We start from the raw sequence: 19,706 nt of genomic DNA on the forward strand, positions 1-19,706 counted from the left end.
AAAGACTTTATTGGTCTGAAGTACTGCCAGACCAATGACTTCAGGCCCTTACCACACCTTCAACCTAGACCACACCTTTAGGACCTTGGCATTTCCCTAGTTAAGACACCCACTTCTGCCTTCCCTTTCAAGGTTTTCTCAATAACTCTTAGAAAATCAAGATGGAGAGCTGGCAGTGCTGACTGATGGTCTGACATTCCAGTGTAGGCAGATGGCAACATGAAGACCCAGAGCATACTTTCCTGGGTGTTTTCAGTCACTGAAACCCCATGCTACCCATGGCAGCAGAAGAGCAATTCCAACCAGCAAAGCCCTGGGGAGAATCATGAAGGTCCTCCCTTGCCCTTTCCTATCCTTGACCCAAGAAATCCCTTCTCACCATCAGAACTCCAGAGCTTTCTAGCTAATCTCCACATATGCAAAGCTCCTCACTGCAAGACTGAAGACTGACTTTCCCGGGACAATTGTTTCCACAGTTATTTCTTCCCAATGACAACATAAGGTATAGATGACTGACATGTTTAACACTCCTCCCTACTTCACTATTTTTATTATGGGTTAAAAAATCAACATCCTGAGGCATTTTTGAATAGAAATCTGCAACCCAAAGGAAGAAGACATATGGAAGGGGCCTGGCAGTTGTGTCCACAAGTCATCAGTCTGCATGACCTCAACCCCCCAAGTTGCCTCTCTGGTCACAGCCCGATGGCCTGGTCAAAGCAGACCTGGGCTTTGTGGGGATGATTGGCCAGCTGCATCACTTAGCCCTCAGTTGCCTGGCAACCCATGTCTGAGGTATCCTGGCCCAGATTCAGGTGATAAGGGGATACTTAGATCATTGCAACTCCCCCAGCTGAGGCAAAGTGGTCATGAAGAAGTCTAGGGAATGCTGTGGATTCAATCTGACTCAGAATATTCTGAGTGTTTGTGTGCTGGGGGCAGAGAGGTGCCTGGTGAGGCCTGTTTCTGGTCAGTCCCAGGAGTATACTGAGTATATCTGACCTCCTCTGGTTTACCTCTCTTAGAGTAGACCACGTAGAGTCTTCATAGTGTTCTGGACACAGCAGAATATTCTGGAAATGCCTTGGACATAAACATACCTCAAGGCCTTGCCTAGGGTGGATATACTTCCCAAGAACTCCTCAAAATGTAACCCAATCTCTGGCCAAAAGTTACACGGCCCTCCAGCAAACAGACTGAAGTCCATCCTCCTGTGGCCTTCATAAGCTGGCCTTTAGCTCTCCTGCTTTATGTCTTGCTGCAACCCTGCCCTGACCCCCATCCACCCACCTTCTCTCCTTACTCACACCACACCGGCACTTTGGCCCTCACTCTATCATGCTATTCTGTCTCTCTGGAAAGTCCCTTCCACACCGCAGCTGCCAGTCAAAGAGGCACACCTCCTTCAGAACCTGACTCAAAGCCACTTCTTCCTTGAAGAGAAATGTTGACTCCTCTTGGAATAGCTCTCTGGCTCTACTTGGAAACCCTGCCTAGCCTCCACTTCTACTCTCATCCTCTCATAGCAGGTTGTGATAATTACAGCACTCAGCACAGTTGTCTCATATGAACCTCGTCCACATGAGTGTCAAAGGAACTGTGCATTTTACAATGCTGATTCCCCCATTCTTCCACTTGGAATGACTGCATCCCAGCATTCCTCTCATTTTAACAAGTTCTTTTCACTCTCCTCTATGGATTCATACCTTTGTTGGTACTATATTAACAGGCCCCTCTTTACTCAAGCCATTTTTATCAGTACATGTAGCCTTTCTCTTGATCTAGACAGGATTAATGTCAATTTTTCTGTGTGCTCATTCTTCTCCATCCCTAGAAAGCAAGGTGCTCTGTGTGGTAGGGTTTAATAACACAGGGCCGTATCATCCATCACTGTCTGAGTTCTTCACAATTACGACATGCATCTCAGAAAAATGCCTTGAGAAGTCTAGATGGAAACCAATGCCCCATGGAAACACATGAATATTTTATCAGGCTCTGAACAAGACTCTTGCTCATGAATGTTTAAACCCCTCAGTAGCATAATGCTCAGAAGCTGATTAGAGTCAACTTGTGCTGGGATGGGGAAGCTGAGAGGAGGAGGGAAATACAACAGTGATGGCAGCAGGCATTCCACAGTGTCTCTTTCAAGGATTTAAAGCACTTAAGAGTGCACTGGAGGGCTCGCTAATTTGTTAGACACTCATTTTCCAAGTGCTTTCCCTCTAAAGTGGGAAGCAGGTCAGCTCCCAGCAGAGCTGTCTAGAGAGAGCACTGGCTGGGGTACATGCAAGCTGCTACATCAGTCACAGCCCCCATAACCTTGCCATACTTCTCTCTGCATTGGTGGCACAAGGAAGATTTTCATATAAAGTAGAGAAGACTCAAGATGAGGCAGACCCTTTATAGGTTCACAGCAGCTTTGTTCAAAATTGCCACAAACTGGCAACAACCAAGTATCTATCAACAAGAGAACAGATAAACACATGGTCAATATTCATACAATAAATACTACCTTGGAAAAAAAAGAAATGAACTACTGATACACACAATGGCACAGATGAATATCACAGACATTGTGTAGGGCAAAAAGAAGCCAAACACAAGAGTGCATACTGTGTAACTGCAGTTATATGAAATTCAGGAACCAGCAACACTAATCTATGATATTAGAAATCAGAACAAGGTTTGCTGCTTCTGTGGGGTGGAGGTGACTAGAAAGAGACGTGAGGAAAAGTTCTGTGACTGAAATATTTTATGTCTTGTTTGGGATGTGGGTTTGTCAAAACTGGCCAGCTATTAGCATAGGATTCAGCTGAGAAGTGCTGTGAGGATAAAAGAGGCCACTGATCTCCAGGGTCATCATTTACCTATCAAATATTGATTAACTTGAATTATGAATTACCTCAAAGGACTTCTAGTATTTTACCAAGGGTTCTGCCACCCTTATGGGAGTCAATGCCTTATTTGTGTAATTTAGTTACCTAATTAATCCAACAGTTATTTATTAATTGCTCATAATATACCAAATAGGAACACAGCCATAAATAAGACAAAAAAATTCCTTGTCTTGATGGAGTTTACATTAGAGTGGGGAACATGCCCAATTAACAAGGAAACACATATACTATATAGTGTCAGGGAGTGCTAAGTGCCATGAAGAAGGATAAAGCAGGGTCAGAAGACAGGGAGTGACCACAGGCTGTTTTAGATCAGGTGGCCATCATTCTGGAGAGTATGAAAAGAAACTGGAATGAGCTGAGAAAAGAAGCAGTGGCAGTGTCTGAAGGAAGAGTGTTCAGGCAGAGGGAAGAGCAAGGACGATGGTAAGCAAGAGGACGGCCATAGAATATGAGGGCACCAGACCAAATCACAAGCCCTGGTGGAGAGTTGAATGTTATTCACAGTGTGAGGGGAAGCCATTGGAGGGTGTTAAGCAGGAGAGTAATATCATCCAACTGACTGACATTTTAAGAATGGGAAAAAGAAGGCAGTTAAGGGGTCTGCTCAAGATTCTTATGGGAAAGTCAGAAGAATAAGATCCATATTTTTTTCTTAAAATGTTAATATCCTTCACACATCTATATTTGAAACACCTTCTGATTCAAGCTCTGTCCAGGACCAGATCACATATGTCTGGATTCTAAACACTGATTTTTATTAACAAGTTTGTTTTAAGATAATAAGTTTATAAAATGAGAGGTAGAAAACATCTCTGTATGTCTAAAATTTTTCATAATAAAGTACTGGAGAAAAAAAGGTGAGATAGTGATTTGCATCCTTTATCAGGCAAAATTCATCAGCAACTAAACATGAATGTTCTGATTCTCAAGACCTTTGCAAAATAAAGGCTCTGATTTTTTTTTTTCAACTAAATGTAGAACATTTCTTTCAACCCCCAAATCCACCTTTGCAGCCCAAGTCAGTCCACGTTGCACTGTTTCTGCAGCATGTCAGAGCCTCTGGCTTCTTTCCTCTCTCCCCCTTCCCCCAATTAATCTCTGAAACCTACATAAGAATGGAATAAAATGCAAATTCAAGGAGAAGGATGCAGTTTTCAGAGAAGGCCTCATCCTCCTCCTACCCTATAATGGAAATTCCCTTATGGTTAAACAACAAAAATGGAAATATTAAAACCCTCAGCTGAAAACAAACACTTAAGCACCTATTCTCCTTTCCAGAGAATCTGTTTCCCTCAATCATTATTTTTCCACTCTTTTGAGAGCCTTCTAGGCTGAAAGTTGTTTCATCTCACCCATCTTGGGTCTCTCCTAGGTCTCATTTCTGCCTTCACCAGGCTTGAAGTTCTATATCCCTAGGCTATCAGAACTTTGACTCTGACCAGGCTCAATTCTAGACTTTACTGGGGAATGGGGAGAAGCTAAAAGCTGGGGGTGGAAGAGAAGGGGAAACAGAGGGAACATTCCAGAGACAGTAGTGTCCCTGAAGGGGAATTAGGCTGGCAAAATGGGGACCAGAAAGCCACCTCTATTCCTCACAAGGGACACCTAACTCAAGCACAGCCTGCTAAAGCACTTTATTCTCCAGACTCAAATTGCCTTAACCTGTAAGCAAACGCTTCCCCAGCCATTTATCCGCAAGCGCATTTGCCCCACCTGCAGCAATGAAAGAAGCACTGTTTTTGCAAGCCGGGCTGCTACCCAGACTGCGAGGAGACATTCTGTGCAGAATTCAGCCACTGGTGGAGAAAAAGAAGTTTTTCTTTGCAGGCCTTGCTGCCTAATACAACTATATCAACAATTTCTCCCGCTGTGTAAGCCCCATCTGAAAATCTTTCCCTTTTATCTAGGATGCAAAAATGTAATGTTATCCTCCATATTCTGGTTTAAAGAACTACACCAGGAAAGACATTTTATGATAGGCTAGGGCATCATTTACCTCTAATTCAAGCATGCATGTACCTAGAAAACTAACAAAGGGGTAAGTTATGCCATGCCATGACTTCTCTTCCCAGATTTCTATCCTGAAATCTTAACAAAATTCGATTTTAAAAACCTCAAGGTTTGTATTCTTCACGAGTACATGGATACCTTGAGTTCTACCTAGAGGCCTCTAGTTTCTGACAGAGCTAACTTGGAAAGGGCTGCTTGCCAGGGTACAAGGATGTTGCAGCTTCCAGGTGACTCCCTCATGCCCAGAAGCAAGGCAGTTCAACAGACGCAGTGCAATACAATTGTCCCTTTTCAGGACTTTGCAATCTCCATGGGGGAGCCCATCGTGCCCGCCACTCTACACCCTGGGGGTGAACATGCCCTGCAAAGCAGATTCGGCGTGAGGAGACTCTGGAAAGTCTACAGGCGGTGGGAAACTGTTTCGGGATCTCTCATTTTCAGCACAGCCGGTCGCTTATTCAGCAGAAAACCCACGGCCCCATCTTCACACCAAATTACAGTACTCTCCCGTCTCTTCCACTGAAATTGCCACTCGCATCCCTGATGCGTGACCCCTGCTCACCTCAAGTTCCTATGAGAGTTTCTTTACCGGTTCCAAACAAACTGCCCAGATTCTGGAAAGGGAGAGAAAGCCCCTCCCCCTTTCCACTTTCACTTAATAATTAAGTGTTTGAAGTTTTGTGGATCCTTAAGGTCGCTGTGCTCACCTCATCAGCGTCGGACCGCCGAGAAGCGCCAAGCCCGCTGCTATGTGCAGGACGCCCACGGTCCCCCGGCGTCTCGCGCGTTCGCGGGGCTGGAAGGGGCGGGAAGGGGCGGGCCGGGGCAGAGACAGGGGCCCGCGCCCATCGCCGCGCCGGGAGCCTGGCGTGGAGGCGGCGGGACGGCGGCGCAGGCCTCTGAGGTGTGCGCGGGGCGCCGGGCGCCTCTGGCCGGGGCACTGGCTGAGCCACGCCTGCCCGCCCCTCCCTGGCGCCGCCCGCGTGGCGCGCCTCGACCCTGCTCTCCCGCGAGGGCCGGGAGGGCTCCGGGACCTTGCAGACTCCACGCGCCTCACGGCTCCTCCAGCTCCTCGGATCTTTCTCCTTGCGTCGCCGCCGAGTCCCCTGGGGCGGCCCCGCCTCCGGCCGTCTCCTCAGAGACCTTCCCTGGGGGGCGCCTTCCCCTCAGCGCCCCTTCCCGGGCCTCGAGCCAGCGGCTGCCGCAGGAGCTGGCCCCGGGGCGAGGAGCTTCAGATTCAGGTCCCTAGCCGGCCTCGGTAAGGAGACTGGAAGGATTCTCCGCGAATGCTCATTTTTATTTCTGGAGTGGCGTCGGAGTTACCAATTAGTTTTCTTATTTTATACTCTCTGGAGTTGCCAAATTCTTTACGTTGAGCTTTTGCTTATTTTATAATCAGAAAGACAAGTACGTTTCTTTTTCCAAGAATGCTTACAGGAGGCCACAAACAAGATGTTCGCACCCAGCCCACTGTCTTCCGCTTAAAAATATGTGTGAGATGTTGTGTTTAAGACACCCTCAAGGAGAAACATAGAGGGGAGACCTGGAAATGGTCTTGGGAATCCACTTAGACTTTCCATATTATATTTGTTTCATTTATTTTAAAATCTCAGACCTATTTATGTGCATTAGGACATTCCACATTTTTACAACTGCGCAGAGGAAATCTTTGGTTGTAGAGGACGGGAAGAGAGAGGCCAGGTCCGCAGACCCCACTGTGACAAGACAGTGGCTACATTCTTAACTGTTTTACACATTGTGATACCCAAAGACTTCTTTTCACAGGATTCTACTGAGGGGGAAAACAAGAGGAAGAAAGAAAGATAGACAAGGTTTTCCTCAAGGCAGTAAGCAAAAAGCTGGTTTCTCAGAAGAAAGAATTATGTCTGAGATTTTACCCAGGACTCTCCAGATCTCTCATTCTACACAGAAGGACCCTTTCATTTGGAACGTGCAGAAACTGAGGAGGACCATCTCTCTCCTCCATGGGGGCTGCCTGAGTTAAAAAGGCCTGGGTCCATCTTTTTTCCGTAGGAGAGCTGACTTCAGAGTCTAGAGCCAAATCTTCACTTCTGTGGCTCTAGATTGAGGATTTGCCCTTCTGATCTCTGTGGGGCTTTTTTTTTTTAACCTGGGAATTCCCCTGGGCTCTTCGGCTGTTATTCTCATCAACCCCTCTCTATATTCTGCAAGACATTGAAATCTTTCTCCCAGCTTGGCCCCCACCTCCAATCCCAGTATTCTCTTTTCTGAGATTGGAGTATTTCCAACCCCTCAGTTGCCAGGCACTGAAGGTTTTCATCTTCCAGGCCTGCCATGTTTACCTCTGAGATGTTTCTGGCAACTGTCCACTTCTCTGCATTCTCACACTGCTGCTCTTGATAAGCTTCGATTATCTGGGGCTGAATTGTTTCAATAATTTCCTAACTGATTTTCTTGCCTCCTATCTGTCCCCACCACCAACATAGACTTAAGAATGTCACTCTCTTGACAAAACAAGCCAACATCCTCTATCCTCTGTCCCACTCCCAAACCTGCAGTAACTTTCCTGTGCAATTGTAATACAGTGTAAACTTTCATAAGGATGGGGAGTGGCCAAGATGGCTGACCAGAAGCAGGTAATGTACATGGCTCTCACGGAGAGGAACAGAAGGGACGAGTAGATACAACACCTTCAACTGAAACATCCGGGTACTCGCATTGGGATTAATCAAGGAAACAACCTGACCCACAGAGAACAAGGAAAAGCAAGACAGGACAACAGCCCACCTGGGAGCAACAGGGAACCAGGGGATCTTCCCCTGCCCAGGGAAGTGGTAAGTGAATGAGCGACCCCGGAAACCATGCTTCTCCCACAGATCTTTGCAACCCTCCTGTCAGGAGATCTCCTTGTGAATCCACTCCACTAGCAGCAGGGCCTTCAGTCTTCAGTCTGGCAGACAGGGCTACATGGAGTCTCAGCAAAGCAGCCACTCAGGCATGCGTGGAGACCCTGGAGGCTTAGATACTTGGGCGTTCTGGCAAAAGTAGCTGCATCTCCCACAAAGAGGGAGTTTAGACTCCCATTCATACCCCTAAGAAAGAGGCTGAATCCAGAGGGCTGAGCAGCAACAGCCCGCAGGGCCCACTTCCACAACACCTCACACAAGACAGGACCCACTGGCTTGGAATTCCACCCAGCTACCAGTAGCAACATAGCACCTGCCTAAGTAGGAGCTCCCAGGGGAGGGGTAGGCCAACATCTTTGCTGTTCAGGAGCTTTAGCTGTTCCAGCCTTCAGGGTTTGGAGAGTCTGAGACGACCTGGGGCGGTAAGGATGCCCCAGCACAGCACAGCTGCTCTACCAAAATGTGGCCAGACTGCTGCTTTAAGTGGGTGCCCAATCCCATTCCTACTCACTGGGTGTGACCTCCCAACCAGGGCCTCCAGCCACCCTGCCTGAGCTCTTCAGCTGTGACAGAGATCTGAATTCCCCCTGGGATGGCACTCTTAGAGGGAGGGATGGGCTGCCATCTTTGCTGTTTGGCTGACTTAGCTCTTCCAGCCTTTGGGTTGTAGAGTGTCTGAGGTGACCAGGAGCTGAAGTGGACCCCCAGCACAGCACAGCTGCTATACAGAAATGTGGCCAGACTGCTTTTTTAAGTGTGCCCCATCCTGTTCCTCTTCATTAGGTGGGACCTCCCAACCAGGGTCTTCAGCCACTTCCTACAGGTGCCTTTGGGCCAGCAACAGGTCCATACCTCCCTGGGACAAAGCTCCCAGGGGGAGGGACAGGCTGCCATATTTGCTGTATCATAACCTTCACTGGTGACACCTCCAAGTTCTGGAAAATCTGAGGTGACTAGGGACTGGAGCAGGCCCTAAGCATACCAGAGCAGCCCTGTAGAAAAGTGGCCAGACTGTTTCATGGGTGCCTATTCCCATATCTCCTCACTGGCAGGTCCTCCAGGCCTCGGCCTCCAGCCACTCCCCACCAGAGCTATCCAGCCAATACCAACTCAGCGACTTCCAGGACAGTGCCTCCAGGGGCAATTGAAAGGGTCTTAGCCACTGCCTCTGCTGTGGAACTCCCCTTGCCACCCTTGGACTAAAGAAGGAGCAAAGACCCTAAGTGCCTTTTCCATACCAACAAGCTGCAGTAGACCCAAGGAAAGGAGACCAGTCCATCTCCCATGTGTTCCACACTGCTCACTGGACAGGCAACCCCTGGCTTGGGTCCAAAGCACGAACCCTCCTTCTTGGGCTGATTGCACTGAGCAATTGGTAACCTGCATTTTTCTGGGGGTAGAGCCCCCAGGAGTCAAGCAAATGACTCTCGGCCACAGCACCTACTAAGATGAGCCTCTGCTACTTCTAAGCTGGGGAAGGAACATAAACACAGATCACTCCAGAGCTGCAGTGGGCAGTCCAGGGGTGCTAAGTCGTGAACTACAGCCAGCACTCAAGGGGGAGAGGAACCCACACTTTCGGAGCACTGAGAGGGAACACAGCTGCAACTGTGAAGAAACATACAGGAGCAGGAGTCTACCAATTGACCAATAAGCCTAAGTGTCACCTGCAGGATCACACCCCAAAGCTTCAACACGAAAAATATTTCACTAACATACACACCTCTGAAACCAGAGACAAGAAGTCAGCTTCAAATAAAGACCCTATAGAAAGCCTCAGCACAGTGAAAACATCCAAAAAAGAAGTCTGTTGACTGTAGTCAATCTACGTTGCAGTCAAATGAACACCCACACACAGAGATGAGAAAGAACCAATGCAAGAACTCTGGTTACTCAAATGGCCAGAGTATCATACGTCCTCCAAACGATCACACCAGTTCTCCAGCAAGAGTTCTTAACCAGGCTGAACTGGCTGGAATAACAGAAATAGAATGCAAAATATGGATAGGAACAAAGAGATCATCAAGATTCAGGAAGATGGCAAAACCCAATCCAAGGAAAATAAGAATTACAATAAAGTAATACAGGTGCTGAAGGATGAAATAGCCAGTATGAAAAAGAACCTAATTGGTCTGACAGAGCTGAATAACACAATACAAGAATTTCACAATGTGGGCCAGGTGCAGTGGCTCACGCCTGTAATCCCAGCATTTTGGGAGGCTGAGGTGGGCAGATCACCTGAGGTCAGGAGTTCGAGACCAGACTGGCTAATATGGTGAAACCCCATCCCTACTAAAAATACAAAAATTAACCAGGTGTGGTGGTGAGAGGTGACAGCATGCTGGCAACCCTCACAGCCCTCGCTCGCTCTCGGAGCCTCCTCGGCCTTGGTTCCCACTCTGGCTGTGCTTGAGGAGCCCTTCAGCCTGCCGCTGCACTGTGGGAGCCCCTTTCTGGACTGGCCAAGGCCAGAGCCAGCTCCCTCAGCTTGCGGGGAGGTGTGGAGGGAGAGGCACAGGCGGGAACTGGGGCTGGCCCCCATGGCACTTGCGTGCCAGCGCAAGTTCCAGGTGGGCGTGGGCTCTGCAGCCCCGCACTCGGAGCAGCCAGCCGGCCGGCCCCACTGGCCCCAGGCAGTGAGGGGCTCAGCACCTGAGCCAGCAGCTGCTGTGCTCAATTTCTCACCAGGCCTTAGCTGCCCCACCGCAGGGCAGGGCTCAGGACCTGCAGCCTGCCATGCCTGAGCCTTCCCCCCGCCCACCCCTGCCGTGGGCTGCTCAGTGAGCGCCACCCCCTGCTCCACGACACCCAGTCCCATTGACCGCCCAAGGGCTGAGGAGTGCGGGCACACAGCACAGGACTGGCAGGCAGCTCCACCTGTGGCCCCAGTGTGGGATCCACTGGGTGAAGCCAGCTGGGCTCCTGAGTCTGGTGGGGTCTTGGAGCATCTTTATGTCTAGCTAAGGGATTGTAAATACACCAATCAGCACTCTGTATCTAGCTCAAGGTTTGTAAACACACCAATCAGCACCCTGTGTCTAGCTCAAGCTTTGTGAATGCACCAGTCGGCACTCTGTATCTAGCTAATCTGGTGGGGACTTGGAGAATCTTTATGTCTAGCTAAGGGATTGTGAATGCACCAGTCGGCATTCTGTATCTAGCTCAAGGTTTGTAAATGCACCAATCAGCACTCTGTGTCTAGCTCAGCGTTTGTAAATACACCAATCAACACTCTGTATCTAGCTGACCTAGTGGGGACATGGAGAACTTTTGTGTCTAGCTCAGGGATTGTAAACGCACCAATCAGCACCCTGTCAAAACGGACCAATCAGCTGTCTGTAAAATGGACCAATTGGCTCTCTGTAAAATGGACCAATCAGCAGGATGTGGGTGGGGCCAGATAAGGGAATAAAAGCAGGCTGCCCGAGCCAGCAGTGGCAATCCACTCGCGTCCCCTTCCGCACTGTGGAAGCTTTGTTCTTTCGCTCATTGCAATAAATCTTGCTGGTGCTCACTCTTTGGGTCCACACTGCCTTTATGAGCTGTAACATTCACGGCGAAGGTCTCCAGCTTCACTCCTGAAGCCATCGAGACCACGAACCCACCGGGAGGAACAAACAACTCCAGACACACCACCTTAAGAGCTGTAACACTCACCGCGAAGGTCTGCAGCTTCACTACTGAGCCAGCGAGACCACGAACCCACCAGAAGGAAGAAACTCCAAACACATCCGAACATCAGAAGGAACAAACTCCAGACATGCCGCCTTTAAGAACTGTAACACTCACTGCGAGGGTCTGCGGCTTCATTCTTGAAGTCAGTGAGACCAAGAACCCACCAATTCCAGACACAGTGGCAGGTGCCTGTAGTCCTAGCTACTATGCTGAGACAGGAGAATCACTTGAACCCGGGAGGTAGAGGTTGCAGTGAGCCATTGCACTTCAGCCTGGGTGACAGAGAAAGACTCCGTCTCAAAACAAAAAAACAAACAAAAAAAAAATAGGCTGGGTGTGGTGGTTCGTGCCTGTAATCCCAGCACTTTGGGAGGCTGAGGTGGGTGGATCACCTGAGGTCAGGAGTTCGATACCAGCCTGGACAACATGGTGAAACCCTATCTCTACTAAAAATACAAAAATTAGCTAAAACTTTAGCTGGGCTTGGTGGTGCACACCTGTAATCCCAGCTGCATGGGAGGCTGAGGCAGGAGAATTGCTTGAATCCAGGAGGTGGAGGTTGCAGTGAGTCAATATTGCACCATTGCACTCCAGCCTGGGTGACAGAGTAGGACTCCATCTCAAAACAAAACAAAAACAACAACAACAAAGAATTTCACAATGCAATTACAAATATTAACAGCAGAATAAACCAAGCTGAGGAAAGAATCTCAGAACTTGAAGACTGGTTCTCTGAAATAAGACAGTCAGACAAAAATCAAGAAAAAAAGAATAAAAAGGAATGAACAAAACCTCTGAGAAGTATGGGATTATGTAGAGTCCAAATCTATGAATCATTGGCCTACTTGAAAGGGAGGAGGAGAAAGCAAACAACTTGGAAAATATGTTTCAAGATATCGTCCATGAAAACTTGCCCAACCTTTGCTAGAGAGGCCAACAGTCAAATTCAGGAAATACAGAGAACTTCTGCAAGATTCTACACAAGAAGAACATCCTCAAGACACGTAATCATCAGATTTTCCAAGGTTGAAATGAAAGAATGTTAAAGGCAGCTAGAGAGAAAGGGCAGTTTATCTACAAAGGGATCCCAATCAGGCTAACAGTGGGCCTTTCAGCTGAAGCCCTATAAGCCAGAAGAAATTAGGGGGTCTATATTCAACAATTTTTTTTTTTTTGAGATGGAGTATCGCTGTGTCGCCCAGGCTGGAGTGCAGTGGCGCAATCCCAGCTCACTGCAACCTCTGCCTCCCAGATTCAAGTGATGTGCCTGCCTCAGCCTCCCAAATAGCTGGGATTACAGACACCTGCCACCATGCCCAGCTAATTTTTGTATTTTTAGTAGAGATGGGGTTTCAGCATGTTTGACAGGCTGGGATATTTAACATCCTTAAAGAAAAAACTTCCATCAAGAATTTCCTATCCAGCCAAACTAAGCTTCCTAAGTGAAGGAGAAATAAGATCCTTTTTAGCTAAGCAAATGTTGAGGGACTTCATTACCACTAGACTTGCATTACAAGAGATCTTGAAAGGAGCACTAAATATAGAAAGGAAAAACCACTACCAGCTTATACAAAAACACACTTACACAGACCAGGGTCACTGTAAAGCAACCACACACACAAGCCAACATAGTAACCAGCTAACAGCACAATGACAGGATCAAATCCACACATGTCAATACTAACCTTGAATATAAACTTAAATGCCCCACTTAAAAATGCACAGAGTGGCAAGCTGGATAAGAAAGCAAAACCCAATGGTCTGCTGTCTTCAAGAGATCCATCTCATATGTAATGACACTCATGGGCTCATAATAAACGGATGGAGAAAAATCTACCAAACAAATGGAAAACAGAAATCAGCAGGGGTTGTAATCCTAATTTCAGACAAAACAAATTTCAAACCAACAGAGATTTAAAAAGACAAGGAAGAGCATTCCATGATGGTAAAGGGTTCAATTCAACAAGAAAACCTAACTATCCTAAATATATATGCACCCAACACAGGAGCACCCAGATTCATAAAGCAAGCTCGTAAAGACCTACAAAGAGATACACTGTCACACAGTAATAGTGGGAGACTTCAACACCCCACTGACAGTATTAGATCATTGAGGCAGAAAATTAACAAAGATATTCAGGACCTAAACTCAGCATTGGACCAAATGGATCTGATAGATCTTTACAGAAGTCTCCACCCCAAAACAACAGAACATACATTCTTCTCATTGCCACATGGCACATACTCTCAAATTGACCACATAATTGGACATAAAACATCCTCAACATATGTAAAAGAACTGAAATCATATCAAACATACTCTAGGTTCACAGCACAATAAAAGTAGAAGTCGGTCGGGTGTGGTGATTCATGCCTGTAATCCCAGCACTTCGGGAGGCCAAGGCAGGCAGATCATGAGGTCAGGAGATTGAGACCAGCCTGACCAACATAGTGAAACCTCGTCTCTACTAAAAATACAAAAATTAGCCAGGCGTGGTAGCACAACCCTGTAATCCCAGCTACTCAGGAGGCTGAGGCAGGAAAATTGCTTGAACCCAGGAGGCAGAGATTGCAGTGAGCCGAGATTGCACCACTGCACTCCAGCCTGGGCGACAGAGCAAGACTCCATCTCAAAGAAAAATAAAATAGAAGTCAACACAATGAAAACTGCTAAAAACCATACAATCCCATAAAAATTAAACTACATGCTCCTGAATGACTTTTGAATAAATAATTAAATTAAGGCAGAAATCAGGAAGTTTTTTGAAAATAATGAAAACAAAGATACAATATACCAGAACCTCTGGGACACAGCTAAGGCAGTATTAAGAGGGAAATTCATAGCACCCACATCAAAAAGTTAGAAAGATATCTAAATTAACAACTTAAATTCATGACAGAATTAGAGAAGCAAGAACAAATCAGCCCCAAATCTAGCAGAAAACAAGAAATAACAAAAGTCAGGCAGAGCTTGATGGCTCATGCCTGTAATCCCAGCACTTTAGGAAGCCGGGAAAGGTGGATCATTTGAGGTAAAGAGTTTGAAACCATTCCTACAGAAACTATTCCAAAAAAGTGAGGAGGAGGGGCTTCTCCCCAACTCATTCTATGAGGCTGGCATCATCTTGCTACCAAAATCTGTCAGAGATACAACAAAAAAAGAAAACCTGAGGCCAATATCCCTGATGAACATTAATGCAAAAATCCTCAATACAATACTGGCAAACTGAATCCAGCAGCACATCAAAAAGCTAATCCACCATGACCAAATATGCTTCATCCCCAGCATGCGACATTGGTTCAACACAAGAAAATCCATAAATGTGATTCATCTCATAAACAGAACTAAAGACAAAAACCTCATGATCATCTCAATAGATGCAGAAAAAGCTTTCAAAAAAATTCAACATCCCTTTGTGTTAAAAACTCTCAACAAATTAGGTACTGAGGGAACATACCTCAAAATGCAGCCATCAGTGACAAACCCACAGCCAACATCATACTGAAGGGCAAAAGCTGGAAGCATTTCCTTTGAAAAGTGGCATAAAACAAGGATGCCCTCTCTCACCACTCCTGTTCAACATAATATTGGAAGTCCTAGCCAAGGGCAATCAGGCAAGAAAAAGAAATAAAGGGCATCCAAATAGGAAGAGAGAAAGTCAAACTATCTGCAGATGACATGATTCTATATCTAGAAAACCCCATAGTCTTGGCCCAAAAGCTCCTTCAGCTGATAAACAGCTTCAGAAAAGTTGCAGGATGTAAAATCAATGTACAAAAATTACTGGCACTCCTATACACCATCAACAACCAAACTGAGAACCAAATCAGAAAGGCAGTTCCATTCACAATTGCCACACACACAAAAATAAAATACCTAGGAATATGGCTAACCAGAGAGGTGAAAGATCTCTACAATGAGAATTATAAAACACTGCTGAAAGAAATCAGAGATGACATGAACAAATAGAAAAACATTCCATGCTCAGGCATAGGGAGAATCAGTATCATTAAAATGGCTATAATGCCCAAAGCAACTTATAGATTCAATGCTATCCCTATTAAACTACCAATGACATTCTTCATATAACTAGAAAAATTTATTTTAAAATTAATATGGAACCAAAAGAGAGCCCAAATAGCCAAGGCAATCCTAAGCAAAAAGAGCAAAGCTGGAGGAATCATACTACCCAACTTCAAACTATACTGCAAGGCTACAGTGACCAAAACAGCATGGTACTGGTACAAAAACGGCCACATAGACCAATGGACAGAAAAGAGAACCCAGAAATAAAGCTGACCATCTGATCTTTTACAAAGCTGACAAAAACCACAATGGGGAAAAGACTCCCTATTTAATAAATGGTGCTGGGATAACTGACTAGCCATAAGTAGAAGACTGAAGCTGGACCCCTTCCTTAAACCATATACAAAAATCAACTCAAGATGGATTAAATGACGAGTTAATGGGTGCAGCAAACCAACATGGCACATGTATACATATGTAACAAACCTGCATGTTATGCACATGTACCCTAGAACTTAAAGTATAATAATAATTTTAAAAAGATGGATTAAAGACTTAAATGTAAAGCCCAAAACTATAAAAGTCCTGGAAGAAAACCTAGGGATCATCCTGGACCTAGGGATGGATAAAGATACCATAACAAAGACACCAAAGCAACTGCAACAAAAGCAAAAATTGACGTGGGATCTAATTAAACTTAAGAGCTTCTGCACAGTAAAAGAAACTATAATCAGAGTGAACAACCTACAGACTGGGAGAACATTTTTGCAATCTATCCATCTGACAAAGGTCTAATATCCAGCATCTCCATGGAACTTAAACTTACAAGAAAAATACAAGCAACTCCATTAAAAAGTGGGCAAAGGACATGAACAGACACTTCTCAAAAGAAGACATTTATGCGGCCAAAAAACGTGAAAAAAAGATCAACATCACTGATCATTAGAGAAATGCAAATCAAAACTGCAATGAAACACCATCTCACACGATTATTAAAAAGTCAAGAAAAAGATGCTGGTGAGGCTGTGGAGAAATAGGAACACTTTACACTATTGGTGGGAATGTAAATTAGTTCAATCATTGTGGAAAGGAGTATGGAGATTCCTCAAAGAGCTAAAAGCAGGACTACCATTCAACCCAGCAATCCCATTACTGGGTATATACCCAGAGGAATATAAAGCATTCTACCGTAAAGACACATGTATGCGAATGTTCATTGCAGCACTATTCACAATAGCAAAGACATAGAATGAACCTAAGTGTCCATCAATGACAGACTGGATAAAGAAAATGTAGTACATATACACTATGGAATCTTATGCAGCCATAAGAAAGAAGGAGATCATGTCTTTTGCAGGAACGTGATGGAGCTGGGGTCTATCATCCTTAGCAAACTAACACAGGAACAGAAAACCAAATAGCACATGTTCTCATTTATAAGTGGGGGCTAAATGAAAAGAATTTATGAACACAAAGAAGAAAACAACAAACACTGGAGTTTACTTCAACAGGGCGGATGGGAGGAGGGAGAGGAGCAGAAATGATAACTATTGGGTACTGAGCTTAATACCTGGGTGATGTACAACAGATCCCCATGACAAGTTTATCTATGTAACAAACCTTCACATGTACCCCCAAAACTAAAATAAAAATTCAAAAAATAACTTAAAATTTTAAAAAAAGAAAACCTTTTACAATTGGGAATCAGCTTACCTTTCCAATCTTCTATCCACTCAACACCTGTGTTCCACTTGTACCAAGCGGGGCCAATTCCCAATCTTTGTATATACCCTGTGTTTTTAACGCCTCTGATGATTTTGCTCACCCTGTCCTGGATTTCTCTTTATTTCCATCTTTACCCGTTGAATTGCTCCCAAGCCTCCAAGATCCGGCTCCAGTACCTTCTCCTATAATGATGTTCTTCCAGATCTTTGCAGTCAGATCTGTGGTATCAATTCATGTTTCCTTCCCAGCACTGCGCCTCAGTTCTAGCCCTCACTAACTACAGATATATGTTACAGCTGGCTGTGTCCTCCTATCTCCCCACAGGGTCTGCAAGGCAGGGTGTGTTTCTGTTTTATCATCAACCCCCAAGGCAATTGGCCACACATACCTTTAAAAATAAATAACATCCAGCTGGGCGCAGTGGCACAAGCCTGTAATCCCAGCACTTTGGGAGGCCGAGGCAGGCAGATCACGAGATCAAGAGATCAAGACCATTCTGGCCAACACGGTGAAACCCCGTTTCTACTAAAAATACAAAAATTAGCTGGGTGTGGTGGCACGCACCTGTAGTCCCAGCTACTTGGGAGGCTGAGGCAGGAGGATCGCTTGAACCTGGGAGGTGGAGGTTGCAGTGAGCCGAGATCGCACCACTGCACTCCAGCCTGGCAAAAGAGCAAGACTCCACCTCAAAAAACAAAACAACAACAAAATAAAACAAATAAATAACATGCTTTGATTGTATATAAACCATGTACTTATTGTAAAAATTCAAATACATAGACATATAAGAAAGGGAATAAACCTCCACCTCCTGCATTAATCACGGGTAATGTTTCAGCAAACATATTTTCATGCATCTCTTTATGCACACATCCATGCATATATGCACAAATGGAATCATTTTGTGCATGCTTGGTTTTCTTTTGGACACCCTCTTTTCTAGTCTTTTCTTACCTGACTCTCCCCCTCACTGCTTTCCCCTACTCCCAGCTATTTAACAAGTTAAGCAATGTATAGCTTTTCTTAATTTTTCCATGCTAATATATCTATATCAGTTTTTTGTTCTTGTTTATTTTACAAAATGGATTATCATGGTATATACACTTCTCTGCTTCTTGCTTTTCTAATTAAAGAAAGTCACAACAATTCTTCCAATTCAACTGGTATAAGTTCTAATTCATTCTTTTATTTTAGACCTCATGCAATGTTCCATGCTGTGGATGTACCAAAATTTATTCAAGAGATCCCCTAGCTATGACATTCAACTTCCTTTTTTAAAAAAATAGCTATTGCCATCAATGTTTCAATAATCGTTCTTACATGTATATCCAAATTCCCTGGTACTTTAATTTCTGAGGGATTGATGACCAGATATGAGACTGGACTACTTAAAATGTTAATAGATTGTCATCTAAAAAGCTGTAACAGGCCAGGCACAGTGGCTCCTGCCTGTAATCCCAACACTTTGGAAGGCCGAGGCGGGTTGATCATCTGAGGTCTGGAGTTCAAGACCAACCTGTCCTACATGGTGAAACCCCGTCTCTACTAAAAATTTAAAAAAATTACCCGGGTGTGGTGGCAGGAACCTGTAATCTCAGCTGCTCAGGAGGCTGAGCCAAGAGAATCACTTGAACTTGGGAGGCAGAGGTTGCAGTGAACCGAGATTGTGCCACTGCACTCCAGCCTGGACAACAGAGTGAGACTCTGTCTCAAAAAAAAAAAAAATACATAAAATAAAAATAAATACATAAATAAATAAATTAATTAATAAAATAAAAGGCTGTAACAATGTGCTCTGCATAATTTTAGCCATTCTGATAAGTGAATAGTGATAGTTTGTTGTTCCTTTAATTTGTATTTCACTGACTACTACTGAAGTCTTTTTCCCTCTAAGGACTTTTTGTTCTGTAAATTGCTTATTCGTATACTTAGCTCATTTTTCTTTTGAGCTACTGGTCTTTTTCTTTTCAACCTGCAGGAATTTTTTGCATATTATGGATAGTAACTCTTTAATATGTTGTTATGTATGGAAGCACTTTCCCCAATCTATCATTTATCTTTTAACTACGCTTGTAATTTTTTAAGCCATTACAACTTTTATAGGTTGACATGAAGCTCATGTAGCATTTATTTTGTAACTAGAATCAATATAGCACTTAAGAAATGAAAATAGTTTGCAGTTTCAAACTTCCTAGGGAAACCAATCTTCTATTTCAGTATTTCACAGCTTATTCTGGAATATGACACACCATCTGATGCCCTAATTCCATGCTCAGTTAATATTAGTTCACATTGCCCCATCCACAAACACAGTTGTGTCTATAATATAGTACAAATTTTTTGTATATTATTATCTGGCATGATCACATTATATAAACCATTTTGATTAAACAAAATTCTAGTTAACAAATATATTATGACCACTAAATGGTAACCACATTTAGTGGTCATCAAGTATTTTTTTCCTGCCCCAAGTTCACT

General features: G+C 44.8%; 1 protein-coding gene and 1 long non-coding RNA gene across 5 annotated transcripts in view; one reads left to right on the top strand and one right to left on the bottom strand.

Annotated features, from left to right (window-relative positions):
• The window catches only part of GPR156 (G protein-coupled receptor 156), a 119,745-nt gene extending 113,934 nt beyond the window's left edge, over positions 1–5,811 (bottom strand). For 2 of the 3 annotated variants that reach the window (NM_001168271.2, NM_153002.3), the window contains exon 1: positions 5,618–5,811. The gene's annotated coding sequence lies outside the window, so the exon portion shown is untranslated. Of the gene's footprint in view, positions 1–5,472 lie in introns of all 3 variants that reach the window. The other variant, XM_017005796.2, reaches the window with a different exon arrangement.
• LOC124909418 (uncharacterized) lies at positions 5,745–11,312 on the top strand. 2 transcript variants are annotated; one of them, XR_007096029.1, is made up of 2 exons: positions 5,745–7,726; positions 8,851–11,312. It is a non-coding gene; the product is annotated as an uncharacterized LOC124909418 (long non-coding RNA). The 2 variants fall into 2 exon arrangements; XR_007096028.1 differs by having other exon boundaries at positions 5,804–7,726; positions 8,582–11,312.
• The last annotated feature ends 8,394 nt before the right edge of the window (positions 11,313–19,706 follow it).

The sequence above is a fragment of the Homo sapiens genome, chromosome 3 (assembly GCF_000001405.40).
Source record: "Homo sapiens chromosome 3, GRCh38.p14 Primary Assembly".
NCBI classification, from domain to species: domain Eukaryota; kingdom Metazoa; phylum Chordata; class Mammalia; order Primates; family Hominidae; genus Homo; species Homo sapiens.